Source organism: Homo sapiens, chromosome 15, assembly GCF_000001405.40.
Source record: "Homo sapiens chromosome 15, GRCh38.p14 Primary Assembly".
NCBI classification, from domain to species: domain Eukaryota; kingdom Metazoa; phylum Chordata; class Mammalia; order Primates; family Hominidae; genus Homo; species Homo sapiens.
In genome coordinates this window covers 99,492,935-99,512,588 of record NC_000015.10, presented here as the reverse complement: position 1 = coordinate 99,512,588, position 19,654 = coordinate 99,492,935, and the positions used below count along the sequence as shown (strand labels likewise).

At 48.1% G+C, this 19,654-nt stretch overlaps 1 long non-coding RNA gene across 2 annotated transcripts, besides 7 other annotated features; it reads left to right on the top strand.

Moving 5' to 3' along the window:
* Positions 2,688-2,987: an enhancer, noted in NCBI's record as "active region_10160". NCBI's record gives its function as "activates an Ori minimal core promoter by ATAC-STARR-seq in GM12878 lymphoblastoid cells {active_cell/tissue: GM12878}" and the evidence as "EXISTENCE:reporter gene assay evidence [ECO:0000049][PMID:35858748]".
* On the top strand, positions 2,706-15,092 carry LOC105371019 (uncharacterized). 2 transcript variants are annotated; one of them, XR_932714.3, is made up of 4 exons: positions 2,751-3,008; positions 5,368-5,446; positions 9,064-9,172; positions 13,469-15,092. It is a non-coding gene; the product is annotated as an uncharacterized LOC105371019 (long non-coding RNA). The 2 variants fall into 2 exon arrangements; XR_001751710.2 differs by lacking the exon at positions 5,368-5,446 and having other exon boundaries at positions 2,706-3,008.
* Positions 3,438-3,657: a silencer, noted in NCBI's record as "silent region_6869". NCBI's record gives its function as "represses an Ori minimal core promoter by ATAC-STARR-seq in GM12878 lymphoblastoid cells {active_cell/tissue: GM12878}" and the evidence as "EXISTENCE:reporter gene assay evidence [ECO:0000049][PMID:35858748]".
* Positions 7,893-8,022: an enhancer, noted in NCBI's record as "active region_10159". NCBI's record gives its function as "activates an Ori minimal core promoter by ATAC-STARR-seq in GM12878 lymphoblastoid cells {active_cell/tissue: GM12878}" and the evidence as "EXISTENCE:reporter gene assay evidence [ECO:0000049][PMID:35858748]".
* Positions 9,673-9,922: an enhancer, noted in NCBI's record as "active region_10158". NCBI's record gives its function as "activates an Ori minimal core promoter by ATAC-STARR-seq in GM12878 lymphoblastoid cells {active_cell/tissue: GM12878}" and the evidence as "EXISTENCE:reporter gene assay evidence [ECO:0000049][PMID:35858748]".
* Positions 10,203-10,272: an enhancer, noted in NCBI's record as "active region_10157". NCBI's record gives its function as "activates an Ori minimal core promoter by ATAC-STARR-seq in GM12878 lymphoblastoid cells {active_cell/tissue: GM12878}" and the evidence as "EXISTENCE:reporter gene assay evidence [ECO:0000049][PMID:35858748]".
* Positions 10,323-10,412: an enhancer, noted in NCBI's record as "active region_10156". NCBI's record gives its function as "activates an Ori minimal core promoter by ATAC-STARR-seq in GM12878 lymphoblastoid cells {active_cell/tissue: GM12878}" and the evidence as "EXISTENCE:reporter gene assay evidence [ECO:0000049][PMID:35858748]".
* Positions 10,443-10,602: an enhancer, noted in NCBI's record as "active region_10155". NCBI's record gives its function as "activates an Ori minimal core promoter by ATAC-STARR-seq in GM12878 lymphoblastoid cells {active_cell/tissue: GM12878}" and the evidence as "EXISTENCE:reporter gene assay evidence [ECO:0000049][PMID:35858748]".
* Positions 15,093-19,654: the final 4,562 nt, after the last annotated feature.

Sequence of the window (19,654 nt, the reverse complement as noted above, 5' to 3'; positions counted from 1 at the left end):
ACATTCTAACTCAGGAAAAGGAAGTGGGTTCTCTGGGGCCACCTCCAGGCTGGACTCCAGGCAGTTGTCCCAACCTCTTGACTCCACGGTGTCAAACACCTGGAACAACCATGGCCTGCCCTGAAAATGCAAAGACTCCTGCTCCCAATTTTTCCACAAAGATTCGTGATCCTTACTGGCCACTGGACGTCTGTGCTTTCGGTTGGGTTTGAGGACAAACTTTGGCCCCTAGCTCTGTGTCACTTTAATGTGGGATATGTTCTCACTGGCTCCGTTGGCCAAATGTTCTTGCGCCATCCCCCACTGAGTCTCATGACATTTTATCTGTTCTAGAAATGACAGAAGATGGGTCCCTCTGGGATTCACGCTCCTCTGCTGGGAGTTTCACACCATTCGCCATGTCAACATGAAGCAACAGCTGGGTTGAAGAGAGCCGATAAAAATAGCAGCATCACACTGCAAGCAAGCTGCATAGAAAAGAAGGGGAGTCACGTACTTAATGCAGGGTGGCATTGATTTCTTGTCTTCCCAGTCCAGTGGTGTATTTCTCGGACCATCTACTTTTTCAGAAAGAGCAAAGTGAGCTGCTTGTCCATGTAAGTGTTGGCTAGGACAATGAGGAGAGGGCAGATAGCTCCTGCTCTCCTGCTCTCCCACTGCTCCCTTGTTGGCCCCTGGTACGCCTGATTGCTAACTGGCAGATCAGGCAACTAGACAGCGTAGCCCCTGAACCAGTGAGCCCAGCCAACTCTGGGAACTTGGTTTTCAAGATTGCTGTGAGTTGCTGCAGAAACTTCCTGCTGTTACCCTATCTTTCCATTCATTAAAGTGTAGCTTGCAATTGAACATTCTGACATAACATAGCTGAGATTTTTGGCAGCGATGTTAACCATATTCAAGAGTTTCCTTCAGACGACGTTAAGTTTTTATATCCTCATGAATGCTTGCCACCTTCCTTTAATAACTTGAAAAAACAAGCTTCTCTCAGGAACGTCATTGTTCCAATATTTCCCCAGCACACATTTACTCCTTTTAGACGTGCGTTAGGTGTGTGTATATTTATAAAGTCTGGGTGTACCTAGGTGGGTTAGAATTGGACATCTTATAAAAAGTCAGCAATCTGAATGGACCTTAGAGAAGAGGTATTAGAAGTCTAGTATTTTCTTCGTAAGATCTTATTTTTCTGCTTCTAAACTATTCGTTCGTTTCACCACAAAACTGTATTTTATCAAAAAGAGTATATTCACTAACCCTCACTCAGCCTTGGGGTGTGAAATAGCCTTTTACATTTCTAAAGCAAAAACTTACAGAAAAGTTAAAAAAGGGTAAAATGAGGGTTTCCTTCCCTTCCTCCATAGTGAAAAATGTAGCCTTATTGTGTACAGACATCACAGTAGAATTTTAAAGTAGAAAATTGATTGGTTTAAATTTCCAGCTACTGAGATAACTGAAAATCTTTAAAAACCCATTCTCATTAAAATGCAAAGTAATAGCGCAAAATGCAATGAAAAGCCAAACTGAATTTGTAATTTTTAAGTGCCCCCACAAATGGGAAGTTTGTAGTCTTCTTGGATGGCCAGTGGCTTTAGTAAGTTCTCCAAATCCACTGTGGTGCTTGTTTGCAGGCAGAATTATCACAGCAGAGTTACTGTTCCCTGAAACTTTAAACAGTGTTATGTAATGTCACACAATGTGGTTAACTGAGATTTTAACACAAATTATGGCATTATTGAACCCAACAGGCTCCACTTAGATTTGTCTTTTTTTTTTTTTTTGGTGGTTTTTTTTTTTTTTTTTTTTTGAGATGGAGTCTCGCTCTGTCACCCAGGCTAAATTACAGTGTGCAATCTCAGCTCACTGCCTCCGCCTCCTGGGTTCAAGTGATTCTCCTGCCTCACCTCCACAGTAGATGGGACTACAGGTGCGCACCACCACAGCCGGCTAATTTTTGTATTTTTAGTAGGGATGGAATTTCGGGGTTTCACCATGTTGGCCAGGCTTGGACTCCTGACCTCAAGTGATCTGTCCACCTCAGCCTCCTAGAGTGCTAGGATTACAGGTGTGAGCCACCGTGCCTGGCCTCCACTTAGATTTGGAAATTGACATACAGCTGTGGTACTGCATCCCTAATCTACTCCTTATGCAAATATACAAGGTGTAGGCTACTCTAGGGCCAGAGCAGCAGTGGTATTAGTGACTTACTTCATCTTGAATTCACAGAGAAAGTCTTAGTATCCTCTATTTTACAGATGAGGAAAGAGACGCTAAGAGAAATTGAGGAACTTTGCTGACCTGATGTAACTAGATGGGACTAGAAACCTTGGCTCGCGGACCACAGAGTTGACATTACAGCCATTCACATGAGTTTGCATTTGTCATCTGAACCTTCTGGATTTCTATCATGTCACTTGCTGCGGTCTCTTGTATTTGTGGGAATTAAAATTAAATTGTGATGGTTTTTATTGACTTCTTTTCCCAAACATGTGCAACACCAAACAGAAAATAAAAGATCACAGATGGGACTCTGGAATATGATTTCTTTAACAAACAATTTTATAAATGTATCAGGCCCAACTTGCTTGGTTGGCCAGATGCTAAAATTGTATCGCAGAAGTTTGGGCAACTTCTGAGGAAATGGGCTGCTTCCTGTGTGTATTTCTCAAGTCTGCTGTGGCTTTAGTCCCACCACCCTCCCACCCCCAGGCGCATCTGGCTAGAGTGTGTGGATGGGGCAGACCAGCCAGGTCCAGCCAGGCCAGCATCTCAAGAGCATAGAGCCAGGGAGCATGCGCAGAACCCCAAGAGCAGGGGCATGTGGGCACCTTGATTTCCCAGGGGAAAAAATATTACAGGAAGTGTGAACCAACAGCCAAAAGAAGGTAAGAGTCAGAGGCCTAGGTGGACAAAAGGACGCGGTGAAGAAGAAGATAATCTGGGGAGGTGCAGAAAAACTGAGAGGAACCGGCAGATGCAGACAGAGGAAGAAAGCCACGTCTGTGCAGCGAAAGGTCTGTGCGAACTAAGTGGCAATGAGAGACCGTGCCTCCGTGTCCAGGGATATTGTGGAATCCTCTCTCCCACGCCCCTTGTTTTAGTTAGGCCACTCTTGATTGGAGATGTGGGAGAGAACCTTAACTGGACAATATTTAGCTAAAATAAGAGAATGATACCTCCTGAAGCCAAACTGTGGGGTGGGGAGTTGGGTACCTGCCATGGGGTAAGTGGGGCGTCTTTGGCTGCTCTCTACCTCTCATCTCGGCCTTTCTTTCTGAGTGGGCTTCACTGTCTCAAACCACTCCTCCATGAGGCAGGAGACAGCATGCCTGGGCTTTAGGATCTCCCGCTCCCCTTTCCAGTTTCCAGACCAGAGATGAGAGACCACATTCCTCCACCCCTACCATAGGAAAAGTCCTTGTAGGGTTAGGCCACGTGCCCACCCCTGGGCCAATGACTGCACCAGGGGCAGGTGTGGTACTAGGATTGGCCCAGATCTGGTCATGTGCCCACCCTCTGAGCCAATTACTACATGAGGGGCAGGTGTGGTACTAGAATTGGCCCAGATTTGGTCGTGTGCCCATCCCCTGAGCCAATCACTGCATCAGAGGCAGGTGTGGTACTATGATTGGCCCAGATTTGGTCATGTGCCCACCTCCTGGGCCCATCACTGCATCCAGGGGTAGGTGAGGTACTATGATTGGCCCAGCTTTGTCTATGCCCCTATCTGTGGGGTAGGAGAGGCAAAATCTTTACCAGGGACAGGGCGATCAGAGTGCTGTTCAAATGCTATAGCGTTCCGTTTTGCTGTCCACGTGTTTTCGTCATGTTCCGGCAATGGCTTGATCTATAAGGACTCAACTGAGAGCAGCCAGGCTGTCCTTGCTGGATGGTCATATCAGGATCTTGCAGGGTGAGGACAGTTGCATAAAGTGTATTAAATTATATGATTCATTTCCTTTGCTTTGAATCACAATATTTATTTTTATTTGAAATTTCAAATAATATTGAAGAAGGGCACACAATGTTTACATTGATCAAAATGGGACATAGGTTTAAAATGTTGGAGAATCGGCATTATAAAGGAGAGTGTTCCAACTGCCTTGCCAGCGGCAGAATTCATTCCTGTTTGAACAAAGGCTGACTTCATCTCTTTAGTTCTTTGTGGGGTGAGTGGAGGAAATGGTCCACAGTGGTCAGCCACATTCAGAGGGAGTAGGGGACGGGGAAGGAACTGCCCACGTACTGAGCACCTACCGTGCATCAGGCACATCGTGTGCAGTTTCTCAAAGTGACCCCGTTTCATCCGTTTGGCACCTCGGCGAGGTGCAGCTGCTCAGGCTATTTGTCATAGAGGCACCCGGCCTTCAGACGGGCGTCTTGGCAACTTACTTAGACTCTCTTTCAAGGTGCTTCCAAGTTTGCCACGTGGATAACAGTCCATCGTGTCTGCGTCAAAGTACAGAGAAGATTGATGGGATGGGGCTGGCAAAGACAAGAGTGATGAAGACACTCCTTTCTGTTCTGAAACCTTATTAGGATACCGAGAGTTCTTTCCATGCAGAATCCACTAGGGCTTTGGTTATGCCGCAGCCTTGAAAAAGACCAGCCTGTTTCCATTTCCTGCCTAAAGCCAGCTCTCAGCAGAAAGTGGTGGGGCTTAGAGGAGGGCTGGGTGACCACAAGCAGAACACCACTGGAGCCACATGGCCCTCACTGTGAGATGGGGTGACAACGCTAACCTTTGGGGATTTCAGTGCGAGACAGAGAACAACGATGCCTTTTCTGGAGCTGCTACAAGGCACATAGGATGTACCAGATACATGCTAGCTAGTGTTACGAAGCGAGCATAAACATCTGCCTACTTATTTTTATTTATTTATTTTTACCCTGAGCTTGGAGGCCTAGCTTTGCTCAGCTTTCTGGATGCCAGCCAAGCTAAATTAACACTCTTATCTTCTGGCCCCTGCAGCTGGCGGCCTCCACGTAGTCTTTGCGGCATTCTTTTTAGGCTCAGCCGTGTGCACTGGGAAGTCGTCCCGGGCCATCCCAGACTGTCCTATGCTCTGGGCTTTTTTGCCTACTCTACGGCCAGCTGAGCCCATGTTTCTGTGCAAGCAAAGCAAGGTCACTGAGGCGGCCCGGAGTCGCACACAGTGGGAAAAAAACATCTTGCTGTGAGAGTGAAGGAGGGGCCACAGATATTCAAAATAATTGTGTCTGCTGGCCAAAACTTCACCCAATTGTGCCAGAGGGGATTCAGCTAGATGTATTTGATGTACCTAGCAATGTCAGCAGTACCACGGGACGCTGCTCCCCAGGTTTTCTTAGGCTACTCTTCTCAAACTCTAAAATGCATGCTTAATCCCCTAGGGACCTGCCTAAAATCCAGATGCTGACTGAGAAAGTCTGGGGCGGGGCTGGAAATTCCAAAATCATAACAAGCTCTCAGGTAATGTCCCTGATCTCTCTGATGACCACTTTCCAAGAAGCTAGGCTTATGGTGTTATTTAGAAAACTTCAGTCATGATTTTTGCCACATGTCATCTTTTTTTAATTATTAAGCTTTTATTTTTCAAAAAAATTTATTTGTAAAATGTATGGGGTATACATGTAATTTTGTTATAGGTTGATGCAAGAGTAATTGAGGTTTTCTCATTACTTTTAACCACAATTACTTTTGCACCAACCTAATACCTGGATAATTACAGAGTGGTAAACTCAGGGCTTTTGGAGTATCCATTGCCTGAATAACGTAGACTGTATCCATTAGGCAATTTCTCATTATCCACCCCCTTCACACCAAACCCCCTCTTCCAAATATTCATTGTCTATCATTCCATACCATACGTCTGTGTGTACACATGATTTAGCTCCTACTCATAAGTGAGAACATGTGGTGTTTGTCTTTCTTTATCTGAGTGTTTCATTTAAGACAGGCCTCCAGTTCCATTCATGTTATTTCAAAAGACATGATTTCCTTCTTTTTCATGGCTGAATAGTATTCCATTGTATATATATGCCACATTTTCGTTATCCAATCATCTGTTGATGGACACTTAGGTTGATTCTATACAGTGCTGCAATGAACATACAAATACAGGTAATTTTTTTTTTTTTTGAGATGAAGTCCCTCTCTGTTGCCCAGACTGGAGTGCAGTGGTGCAATCTCGGCTCACTGCAACCTCCACCTCCCAGGTGCAAGCAATTCTCCTGCCTCAGCCTCTCAAGTAGCTGGGATTACTGGCACCTACCACCATAGCCGGCTCATTTTTGTATTTTTAGTACAGATGAGGTTTCACCATGTTGGCCAGGCTGGCCTTGAACTCCTGACCTCAAGCAATCTGCCCGCCTAAGCCTCCCAAAGTGCTGGGATTACAGGCATGAGCTACCATGCCTGGCCACTTTTTGATATAATGATTTATTTTCCTTTGGATAGTGTTTGTATTAATTTACATTTCCACCAATGGTACATACACATTCCCTTTTTTCTGCGTCCTCACCAACATCTGTGTTTTTTTGTCTTTTTACAGCCATTCTGACTGGTGTAAGATGATATCTCCTGGTTTTAAGTTGCATATAATTTACTTTTTAATTTTTTTTAATTTTAAATTACTCTTCTTCATATTGACCTACCTTTTTTTTTTTTTTTTTTTTCCTTTTTGAGACAGGGTGTCCTCTGTCACCCAGGCTGGCGTGCAGTGACACAATCACAGTTCACTGCAGTTTCCACTTCCCAGACTCAGATGATTCTCCTGCCTCAGCTTCCCAAGTAGCTGGGAGGCATGCACTACCATGCACAGCTAATTTTTGTATTTTTTGTAAAGACAGGGTTTTGCCGTGTTGACCAGGCTGATCTCAAATTCCTGGGCTCAAGCAATTGCCTACTTCAGTCTCCCGAAGTGCTGGGATTACAGGCATGAGCCACTGTCCCTGGCTGACCTGCCTTTTAATGTAAACTTATGTGTATTGCCATGAAATCACAGTTTTGAGGAATGATTTTTGTTTTAATACATCTTAAAATGAACATGTAACCATTAACATGAGAACTATATGTTGATAATAACTGTATGTTCCAACGGTGGTGTGGCATCATGTTCTAAGAAACACTGGCTTCAGGGCTTCTGAAGGAAACCATAGCCTGGACTGCCCAGACCCTGTTTTTTGGACTCTTTAATATGAGCAGCACTGATGCTTCTGCAGGAGCACTGGGGATTCTGGAATGGAGTCAGGGTGATTTTTGGACAATGTATTGACTGCAGCAAAGAGCACCTTCCTGTGCCCAGCAGGCTGCGTGAAAGCAGACTGCTCCTACCCAGTGCCAGGGCACCTAAGAGGGTGACGAATGGCAGTGGGCTGTCCCTCCAAAGCCGTGTCCAAAATGCTTTTTATGCTTGGCCACAAATTTTGTAAAAACCTATGCAGCGACTAGAGAGTAGGAAAAAAAATACCCAAATTCCCTGCTGACTCTGAGGTGCTTGTTTACAAAGTGAAACGTCCCTGGTGAATTGTTTCATTTACAATTAAATCTAACAATAAGCTATTGTGGCTAAATTAATTTCAAGCTAATTTCACAGGAACCCCATGTCCTGTATCAATTCTAAACAAAAGAGTGTGGTGTCGGGCAATATGACTCATTCTGAAGCCAGGCCTCCAGGAGGAGCTCCAGGAGGTTGATGAATAAATGCTAGGTTAAGAGAGCAATGCTCAGGTACCCTGCAGGCCAGGCACACTGCTGTGACGGGTTCTGGAAGCCCCTGTAGGTTGTGCCAGTCACGTACCAGAGACTGGCTTTCTACTGAGAGCACCAACCCCTGAGCAGCCCTTGACTGAGGCAGAGTTTTCCACTAGAACCTGGCCCGCTCTGACCACAGCCTGGAGGAGCCCGGTCCTGGCCACGAGTGTTTCTGCGTAGGGTCTTTAGTCCTATGGACACCTTGATGGGCCAAACACCTTCACAAATAGCATCCCACTTCATCCTCGCCCTGAGAAGTCCGCATGGGTCTCTCCTTTTTATGATGCAATAAGTAAGCTCAGAACCACCCCGAGTAATCATCTCAAAGCCATGTAAGAAGGAACTTTCAGAGCTAGGGTTTCCACCCAGACCTAGTGAGCCTGGTCCTTCTGTCCCTTCAGAGAAACAGTGGCCATAAAGATCCCCTACTCCATCTAGTTGGTCCCCCCCATCTCCCCACAGTGAAGATCTCTGAAGTTTATCTGGAAGCTTTTTCCTTTGAGTTTCAGATTTGACTCTGGTTCCCAATTTGGCTGATGTCAGTTACTCACATTTGAATGTGAGTGATTTTGAGAACAGACTTTGGGCCTCTCTGCTCTATGGTGGTGGGGGTGAGGAGGCCAAGGAAACCTCATCTCAGCCTCAGAAAGGGGAAGCTGAGGATGCCAGTGAGAAGCTTGGCAGGATACCTTTATTTTTAGGGGCAATGGCCACAGAGTCTTTTTCCTCATGCTGCTTTGTCAAAAGAACAGATCCGTGCACATCCCACCTTCTCTGGAACTAAGGCTCCAATGATGCATGAGTCTTCATTTTCACAAGCAATAAGCACCTGCCTGTGGGTGTTTTCAATTATGTTAGAGAATAATTCTTTCCTGGTTGGGCAACTGGTTTGGATTATTAAGATGACCTTCGAAAGAATTCACAGAGCGGGTCCTTCATAGGGTTTCTGAAGTGATGCATTTTAATTGAGATTGTTTCTGCAAAGGAAAAGATTAGGTCAGTGATACCACTCTCATGTTTCCTGTTTGCTCCCTGCCACTGTGGTCTCCTGTCTTGGCCTTCCCAAACGGGACAGGTTGTGTCTGAAGGCAAGAAGAGAACCATCGGTTGGAAAATCTGGAGTCCTGGGGAAGGAAGGCTGTGAGACGGTTTGCCTGTGTCAGGGCTTGGGGAGCATGACATTTGTGTACCTGAGCAGGATGTCATTTCCCGCTGAATAACCCGGGCACCTACCCAGCCTTTATTTTGGCCCCGACTGTGTGTTAAATGCAACCAATATCTCCTCTGAAAGCTCCTAAGAACAATCTGAATTGATGGGGCTGTTTTGTTTCCAGCCAAAGGATGCTGGTGGCATCAGCGAGGAAGGCAAACCCCGTGACCGTAAGAGCTGAACAAGGAGGCGGGAGCCATCTCTGCTGGCCAGGGTGATCGGTGCATTCAGGGGTGAGGAATGACAAGAGCAGTGCCCTGAAATATTTGTTTCTCTTCTTGTCGTGTTTTTTCTTTGTTATCTGATGGCTTACATCTGACTTTCCCAACAGGCTGCAAAACAGTAATGATTGCTGCCTGGGGGAGGTGACCTTTAAGTGGAAATACTGTCCTTGTGGGCAAAAGGCCACAAACAAAAGGTCAACATGTGGACCAATGGGGAGCTGCCTTATTTGCCCACCTGGGGCCTTTACCCCGATTCGGCCTTGCCCTTCCCACCCCTCCTCCCCCCAAGCAGATGGATGGGAGGGGGGCTCCGACATCCACATCCAAGCGTTGAGTTCTTCCCTCTCCTCCTGGCCCTGACCGATTTTCCACAGAATCTGGTTTCATCCCAGTGTTGCACTCCTAGCAATGGGAGGGAGGGCTGGTGCCGCCCACAGTGAGTAGCTTTACTGTTGACGGCTCAAGTACTTCTAGCCACGGTGGGCTTTCCTTCAGCTCAGTCCCATCTTCAAGCTGGATAAACGCAGTCCTCAGGGGAGGGGCTCCCCTCCTTGGTGCCTCACCCCAGGCTCCTCCACAGTGGAGGGGCTTTCCTTGTGGTTCTCGGCCCTCTCATGAGTTCTCTCCCAGCTCCTTGGTCTTTGTCAGGCCTCTGCTCCTCTTCCTGGAGGCAGAATCTCTGTGTCCCTCAGCCTCTCCATGCTGCTTGGTTTGTGTCCTTGGGTGGAGCACCTTGGAGGCTCTCAGAGAACCTTCTCAGGCCAGCCCCAGTGTGTTTCTTGTGTGAAAGGAGGCCCTTGTTATGAGCTTTGGTTTCCCAGCACCTGAAGCATGATCTTGATATTTATGTGGAGAATTGCGTCTCTCACTCTTTTTTTTTTTATTTTTTGAGTCTTTGTGAAGAGCAAAACCACCTCTCTGAAAGGTAAGTGATGGTCAGATACTTCCTTTTTCCAGCCTGCCTTGCAGCTGGGGCTCAAAGAGTGGGGCTTCCCAGCCAGGTGAAGGTGCCAACACCAGACTCAGAGCTGGTGACTCAGGAGGGAAGGGACAGTGGTGGCCGCAGGAGCAGTGGCAGCCAGGCACAGCTCCTGGGGTGGGCGAGGTGTGGGTGCTCAGAGGTGGTGGCAGGGTTTCCCCATCAGCCCTGTTCTGTGGTGTGATTTGACTCATGGTTCCTCAAAGATCAGCTCTGTGCCTGTGTGTCCTCTAAAATGATTCGGAGCTGCCCCATAGCCTTTCACGAGACTCCCTTTCACTGAAATTAGCCAAAATAGGTGTCTGTTGCTTGCTACTAAGAACTTGTTGCAAACGGCATTTCCCTCTACTTGAAGCCCATTCTCAAGGTTTCTGTATCTTATTTTCCTTGTTGGCCGGCAGCCTCTACCCAAAGAAAGGGAGGGAAAGCCATCTGAATTTCCGAATGGATTTCTTTAAACACATGGCAGTGACAATACTCTTTACAAAGCCCAGGCTTTGGTTTCTTCAAGTAAATTGAAGGTGAAGGGGAGGGACAAAGGGGCAGCAAGTCTCTTGAGAAGCCCACGTGTGCCGTGGCACCAGAAGCATGGAGGGGCCCCAGCGGATGGGCCACACGTGGTTTCCCAGAGCCCCCAGTTTCCCAGGGTGGCGCAGCCAACGTTTCCATGCCATGTAGAGAGGACAGGTGTGCCTGAGAGCAGGCTGCAGAGCCTTGGTAGTGGGATAAAGAGAACACGGGGCACCTGCTTAGGTCTGGCAACTGGAGAGTGGAGAGGCCACAGATACAGGGGGTAGCTGGGTAGGTGTCAATGTCCTGGGGCCAATGAACATTGACTGTCTGGGTTGCAGACACACGGTGCCTCCCAACCCGGAATACACCTCACTCAAGTTTAACACCTGGTGAGAAAGAGAGGAAAGAGGAATAAAAAAAATCCATAACTGATTCCATTTTTACTTAAAGGACAGTGAGAAAATTTTGATAGTGACTGAATGTAAATAAGGGGTTAGGAGCTGCACTAAATTCAATCAAAAAAATTAAGTAAGTTATTTGCCTGTATAAGCCTGAAAAATTTCAACCTTCCTCACCTCTTGGGGTTACCATAGGTTTTGGAACAAGGTGGAGATTGGGGCTAGAAAACCCACCGTCTTCCAACTCGGCTTTATCCTTCTCTTTAAGAACCAGGCTTTCTGCACTTGATGTGGTTACATCTTTGAACTTACTGGCAAGAAACATATGTCTGTAAATTGGCCTTGAAAAGTGATACCCATATGCAGGTTATAGAGAAGGGCTAGGATCCTTATTCCAGGAAATCCTCTGCTTTCCTGGGAAGAAGATTACTGCAGTGAATGAAAACAAGATGAAACAAAACCAAAGGAATCAATACATTCCATCTGCCTTTGCTGCTTCAGCCTGTTTTGGGAAGCTCAGGTGCAGAGGTTGTTGAGAGCCTGCTGAGAAAGTTTGCCGAAAAGGTCAGCATTCTTGGTCATCAGGGCTAGCCCCAGATCTGCTATTGCAGGGACTCTCTTCTGCACCCTCCAGCTTTATATTTTCTGGAAACATCTCCCCTGATCAAGCATGAATGGGACTGACCAAACCCTGCCTGCTTTGACGGCATGTTACCTTGCACAATACTCAGGCTAATAACACACACCCTCCCATGGGTGTTTGTTGTTTGGGGCCCTCCACCTTCGAGGACAGACACTGTCCTGTTTTGAACTCGAGGCAGGAACTTTGACACCTGCCCTTGGCTGTCTCAGGAGCTCCAGGAAGTGTCACTTTATGCCATAGTGAAGGTGCTCTTCTGTATGGCCCCTGCCTTCCTTTGCAGTAGACAACTCACCCCTCTCCAAAAATGCCACCCATGTTCACACTGCTGTGTCTTTAGACACATTATCTCAGCCCAGGATGCCCATCAGCCTGCCCTACCCCACTCCAGCTCCCTGCCTACTGCAATAGGATGTCCTAGACTCTGCTAATGACCAGGCGCCACAGGATGGAGAAGCCAGCGCACAGGAAACACGAATGGTGAAATCCAAGAAGCCACCCTCCCTTTTTTTTTTTTTTTTTTTTTTTTTGATCTGTCTCAACAGATCCTCACTCCGTTGCCCAGGCTGGAGTGCAGTGGTGCGATCTTGGCTCACTGCAACCTCTGCTTCCCAGGTTCAAGCAATTCTTGTGCCTCTGCCTCCTGAGTAGCTGGGACCACAGGCATGTGCCACCACACCCAGTTAATTTTTCTATTTTTAGTAGATATGGGGTTTCACCATGTTGGCTAGGCTGGTCTCAAACTCCTGACCTCAAGTTATCCGCCTGCCTAGGCCTCCCAATATGCTGGGATTATAGGCGTGAGCCACCACACCCATCGCAAGAAGCTACTCTGAGCTGAAGATCAATCAGTTTATCTAAAATGGGACTGGAAGGCAAGGTGTGGCTTGGACATTGACCAGATGTGTGGTGGTGATGGATCATTTGACCTCTCTAGGCCTCTACTTGCTCAGCTCTGAGCTGATGGGGCTAGATGGATGAGTCCTGTCTGCCACATTAGCCTGCGACTGTAAGTCTGGGTTTGCTCCAAGATGGTTCACCCACATGGCTTGTGGCAGGAGGCCTCAGCTCCTTGCTGCATAGACCTCTCCATGGGGCTGCCTGAGTGTCCTCACAACATGGCAGCCAGCTTCTCCAGTGCTAGTGATTTGAGAGCGACAAGGGCAGAAGCCACAATGTCTTTTATAGCCGTACCATCACTCGACCTTACTCCATCGGTCACGTGGGCCAACCCTGATCCGATGTAGAAGGGGACCACACAAAGCATTGATACTAGGAGGTGGGACTACAGATGGCCATATTGGAGGTGGCTGTCACCAAGCTCAAAATCCAAACTTAGTTAGGCTCATCTGAATTATCAAGAAATCGATCTGGAGGATTTCCTAGGAGTTCCTGCCCGCAGGGTTTGTATCCTGCCCCTTCCGTGCCCAGGAGTGATAGGTCCTGTGGAGCTGGATACCAGAGAAAATCTTTTCATGACACCAGGCAATGCCAGACATAGAGTTGACAGTCAAGCAGGCGCCACAAAAGGGATCTGAGAGCCTAAGGCTTGGAAAGTCCAGAGGCTCAGCAAATGTAGGAGGGCCAAGTAGGAGCCAAGTTGGAGCTGAGTGCAGGAATACACGATTTCTTTCTTCTTCTTTTTTTTTTATTTTTGGAGGAGGGAATAAGTCATTCATAGTTAACATCAAAGTAAATGTGTTCAGATTAATACCTTGAATTATATTAATGTGCTTTCTTTTTTCACTCCTTATTTGTGATTTCCACCTACTTAGCCACAGTTTCCATTATCTTCATGAGCAGTAGCTGGAATGAAGGAGAAATGGAAAGTGGGAATGAAGACAGGATGCTGAGCTTCAGATACTTAAATAAACTCAAGAACAGGAGGACTGAAAGCCAAGATTTCAACTGCAAGAGCCGGGCCATTAAGAGAGGAAAGGGTTTCCTAAATTCGCATACATTTCTTTTAAATACAATAATCTTAGAGGACAAGCATGGGGTTTTCACCACACACCATAGTGTAGAGAAGGATTCACAAATGACCCAAGAGCAGTTCCCTGTCCCCCAGCAAGGTGAACAGCCCTTCTTGGGCTGGGATGTGGGGGGCAGAGATGAGAGACATTTTCAGTTAATGAGATTATTAGATTAAGACACTATACCTAGAGTGCAGGAGAGATTATGGACATTTCAGATGGTCCAAAGAAGAATCTGAAAGCTTGTGCTCCACTTTCTGTTTAGAATTCCAGGCAGAGACTGCCTTGCAAGGTGATCTACACCCATGCTGGGGGGCTTCAGTAGAGGAGAAATGATGGTGTGAAACGTTTAGATATGGAGGGAATCTGAGATGCCATAGAGGAGGTTCCCTGGGTTTCTGTGTGGCTTGGGTGAGATCTAGAACTTTCTGTGTGGGATGGGAGTGGGGAGCAGTAGTACTAAAAGGGTCGCGGGAGAGGAAGAGGTTGGTGCCTGGTAGGAGACAAACCCCTGCAGCTGGAGGCCAAGAGAGGATCACGGTGGGCAGAGCACATGGCCCAGGGGTGGAGCCGACCTCCAGACACCAGAAGAACAACCTAAGTTCCTCCCACACAGTCAGACTTGAAACTAGAGGACAGACAGAGAACCAGGAATGTCTACTTTGCCCCCATGAGGAATAGAAACAACTTCCTGACTATCCCTTGGTGGGACAGGAGGACTTTCAAGAGGATGAAACTCTGAAAAAGAGTTTACCCTGTGATTAATTAAATGAAATCCTCAATGGCCAGAGTAATTATACAAAGATTAAGTGTCAAATGGGAGAGAGTTTACCTGGAAGCAGTAAGATTCGTTGCTTTTATTGGTTCATTTGTTTTGTTTTCTGCTTTCGGTAGAAATGGATCTTCACGAGTCAGTTGAATTTGATTAAACAGAATTTAGCATTTCAGCCATTTGGGTGACAGTGGGTGCATTCTAAAGTCAGCACACCACCCAAAGTGATATATGAGGTGGAATGGGAGGGGTGGCAGGTATTCAGCTTAAAGGACCGGGATATCATGATCAGTGGCTACTGTTTTACTTTTAAAAACCTTCCTTTTCTGGGTCTAGAATATATAAAGAATGTCTACAAATCAACAACAAAAAACATGAACAGCCTAATTTTTTAAACAGGCAAATGAATTCAGTAGGTATCTCACAGGACAAATGAATGATCAGTAAGCACTGAAAAGGTGTTCAATGTCCCCAGTCATCAGGACAACACAAATTAAAATTGCAATAAGATAACATTTCACGTCCACTAAAATTGCTAAGGTGAAATACGATGAACATTGACAAGTGTGTGGAGACACTGGAACTCTTTATCATTGTGGATGAAGATGTGTCTAGCAGTTTCTTATGGCAGTAAATAAACATGCTTCTACCCCATGACCCAGCAGTCAGTTCCACTCTTAGTTATTAACCCAAAAGAAATGAAAACAAATGTCTACACACAGACTTATACAAGAATGTTTACAGTAGCCATACTCATAAGAGTCAAACACTGCAAACAATCCCAAGGCATGTCAACAGAAAGGATCAACAAAATGCAGCATCTCCGTTTAATGGAACATCACTCAGCAATACAATGAACCATCTTATTTTTTATCTTTTGAGATGGAGTCTCACTCTGTCCCCCAGGCTGGAGTGCAATGGCACGATCTTGGCTCACTGCAACCTCCCTCTCCTGGGTTCAAGCGATTCGCCTGCCTCAGCCTCTCGAGTAGTTGGGACTATAGATGCATGCCACCACACCTGGCTAATTTTTGTATTTTCATTAGAGACGGGGTTTCACCGTGTTGGCCAGGCTAGTCTCGAACTCCTGACCTCAAGTGATCCTCTCCTCTCAGCCTCCCAAAGTGCTGGGATTGCAGGCATGAACCACCAGGCCTCGTCAACAATCCATCTTCTGTTAGACCCACAACAAGGATGAACCTCAAAAAAAATTGTGCTGAGTGAAATAAGCCAGACACAAAAAAAGTATATACAGTATGATTTCATTTATATGAATCTCTAGAACAAACACAATTGATCTATGTTGGTACAAGTCAAAAGGTGGCCAGGAACATGAGGGAACTTTCTGGGCTGATGGTTATGTTCTATATCTTGTGTTTGATGGTGATTACATAAGCATATGCAATTGTCAAACCTGAACACTGAAGAGATGTGCATTTTATTCTACATAAATTATACCTTAAATTTAAAAAAAAAATTGAAGAAACCCCTCTTCTTAAAGTTTTGGCTCAAGTTCTTATGAAGATTAGGCTGGCAAGCACACAAGCCCCAGAAGGCTCTTTATCTTTAGTGGGGGCACCCTCCCTCTGTCCCTTCGTCTGTTCCAAGTGCCTACACGCCCTCTTACACACACACTGCACACTTGGGGAATGTGAGCGTGCGAGCGTGCACATGTATAGACACTGCTTCATCCCCAGGGGCAGCCCCCTCCCCACATGCCCCTCTCTCACTGGGGCCTGCGGGAACACCCTGCCCCTGCCCCTCTGTCCTTCTGCCCTCCCTGCCCACACCCTCGTCCTCCCCCCGTGGTCTTAACTGCACTAGAGTCACCTCCGGTTCTAAACCTCAGCACACTCTAAATCATAGTTTGTGTGTGTTTTTTTTCAGTGAAATACGGATGCTTTTGAAACCACTTTCCCCTCTAAAGGCCTCCTCCTTCCTTGTTAACTCTGGGCTCAGCCGTTCATAAATAATGCAGCTCCTTCTCTCATCTCAATTACAAATGTGGACTCTTTCTCTGTGTTTTGCATCAGACCGGCCTCTTCCGGGTTGCTTCCTTGTTTCTCAAGTCTGGCCAGCAGTGACCCCTACCCTGCCACTGGGATGGAGGGGTGGCACTGATTCTCTTGAAGTCACCCTTATCTTGGGGCTCAGTCACTTTGTTACAAGCGCATTACTTCCCCTCCCGCTTGCTTTTGCCCAAAGCAGCTCAGCAATCTCCTTGCGCCTGTGGGTCTGCATGGGAGGCCCTTTTGTGCATGCAGTTCCAGAGGAGCAGCCCTTTCCACAGGATCTCTGCACAGGCCATGTTATCAGCCCCAAGGGACAAACGCATTCACCGTCAGTATCCACATCTCCATAGTTCTGAGCCCCTGCCTACTTTAGGAGAAATTCTGAAGCTCACAGTGTCCAAATATTTACCAATCCAACAGCAGCCAGAACTGAGGGCTGCTCCCCAGCTAGCAAAGCTCCAAGTCCATAAGGCTAGGTCCTGCCCCCTCTCCATCTCTGTCCCTGTCCCCCAGCTAGTGGTCTTGGTGAGGCTGGGCCTGCCTGGGCCAGAGCCTGGGTGCTTCCCACCCTTCCTGTGGATGCTCCCCTGGGCCTCACTTGGGCAGTGAAAAGCATTCTTCGTTCATCAACCGAGCATGGGGCTCAGGCTCTGTCCCCTGCTGGTAAGGGAGGCCGTCCGGGAGTCCAGCCTGTGTCCTTGGAATTACTAACCCTGTGCTGTTCCTGGGTCCTTGGTGAGGGAGCATCCCACCTGGGCTAGTTTCATCTGCTGATATCAGCAGCGAGGCCTCTCCCCTGGGAAGACGTTGGCCTGAGGGAGGCCAGAGGCTGAAGCCCCCACTGAGTTCACAGCTCCTGAGACCAGACCAGAGGACCGGCGCTCGAGAAATCAGCCTTGAGAGATGAGGACCTTTCAGTGCCCTGACTTGCAGTGCTCCTGGCCGCAAAGGGTGACAGGCATGAGATGGTGAGAGGTGACAGCGTGCTGGCAGCCCTCGCAGCCCTCGCTCGTGGTGCCTCCTGGGCCTCGGCGCCCACTCTGGCCACACTTGAGGAGCCCTTCAGCCCGCCACTGCACTGTGGGAGCCCCTTTCTGGGCTGGCCGAGGCCGGAGCCGGCTCCCTCAGCTTGCCGGGAGGTGTGGAGGGAGAGGCACGGGCGGGAACTGGGGCTGCGCGAGGTGCTTGCGGGCCAGATAGAGTGCCGGGTGTGTGTGGGCTTGGCGGCGCCCCCGGCCCCGGGCAGTGAGGGGCTTAGCACCTGGGCCAGCAGCTGCTGTGCTCGATTTCTCGCCGGGCCTTAGCTGCCTACCTGCGGGGCAGGGCTCGAGACCCGCAGCCCACCATGCCTGAGCCTCCTCCACCCGCCATGGGCTCCTGGGCAGCCCAAGCCTCCCTGACGAGTGCCGCCCCCTGCTCCACGGCGCCCGGTCCCATTGGCCGCCCAAGGGCTGGGGAGTGCAGGCGCACGCGCATGACTGGCAGGCAGCTCCACCTGCGCCACACTGGGGGACCCACTGGGTGAAGCCAGCGGTGCTCCTGAGTCTAGTGGGGACTTGGAGAACCTTTATGTCTAGCTAAGGGATTGTAAATACACCAATCTAGCTCAAGGTTTGTAAACACACCAATCAGCACTCTGTGTCTAGCTCAGGGTTTGTGAATGCACCAATCGGCACTCTGTATCTAGTTAATCTGGTGGGGAGTTGGAGAATCTTTATGTCTAGCTAAGGGATTGTGAATGCACCAATAGGCACTCTGTATCTAGCTCAAGGTTTGTAAATGCACCAATCAGCACTCTGTGTCTAGCTCAGGGTTTGTAAATACACCAATTGACACTCTGTATCTAGCTAATCTACTGGGGAGGTGGAGAACTTTTGTGTCTAGCTCAGGGATTGTAAATGCACTAATCAGCACCCTGTCAAAACAGACCAATCAGCTCTCTGTAAAACAGACCAATCGGCTCTCCGTAAAATGGACCAATCAGCAGGATGTGGGTGGAGCCAGATAAAAGAATAAACGCAGGCTGTCCAAGCTAGCAGGGGCAACCCACTCAGGTCCTCTTGCACACTGTGGAAGCTTTGTTCTTTTACTCTTTGCAGTAAATCTTGCTGCTGCTCACTCTTTGGGTCCACATTGCCTTTATGAGCTGTAACACTCACTGCGAAGGTCTGCAGCTTCACTTCTGAAGCCAGCGAGACCACAAACTCACTGGGAGGAACGAACAACTCCAGACGTGCCACCTTAAGAGCTCTAACACTCACCTCCAAGGTCTGCAGCTTCACTCCTGAAGCCAGCGAGACCATAAACCCACCAGAAGGAAGAAACTCCGAACACATCAGAACATCAGAAGGAGCAAACTCCAGACATGCCCCCTTTAAAAATTGTAACACTCACCGCGAGGGTCCGTGGCTTTATTCTTGAAGTCAGTGAGACCAAGAACCCACCAATTCCGGACCCAATGGGACGGCCAGGGTGTGCAGAGGAGGGATGCTCTTGGGCACCGTGGTGTCCCTGGTGGGCTGACGGCAGGTGAGGGGCCAGCATAGCAGCTTCCCGGCTCCTGAGGAGGAGGTGGGGATATCTTTCCACTGAGGCACGTGGGCCTGAGCTAGCAGTGCTGTCTCCCCAGGTGCAGCCAAGAACCCAGGTGATTGCAATTGCTCTGGGGAAGCTAATAATCTGATGTTGCAAACATCATTAAAATCTACCCTGCCTTAGGGCCGGGCGCGGTGGCTCACACCTGTAATCCCAGCACCTTGGGAGGCTGAGGTGGGCAGATCACGAGGTCAGGACATCAAGACCATCCTGGCTAACACGGCAAAACCCCATCTCTACTAAAAATACAAAAAATTACCCAGGCGTGGTGGGGGGTGCCTGCAGTCCCCTACTCGGCAGGCTGAGACGGGAGAATGGTATGAACCCGGGAGGTGGAGCTTGCAGTGAGCTGAGATCGCGCCACTGCACTCCAGCCCGGGCGACACAGCTAGACTCTGTCTCACCAAATAAAAAAAAAATCAACCCTGCCTTTAGATATATTTTATTGTTGAATTCAAAAAAAATATTTATTTCCCAGTTCTCTTGCACCTTGGGTGCAGGCTGCGGGACGCTGGATCCACCCCATGCTCCCAGAGATGGGGAGCACACAGCCTCAGCTACAGGCCACGGGAGGTGCCTGCCGAGTGCTGCGGCGATACCAGGTCCCAG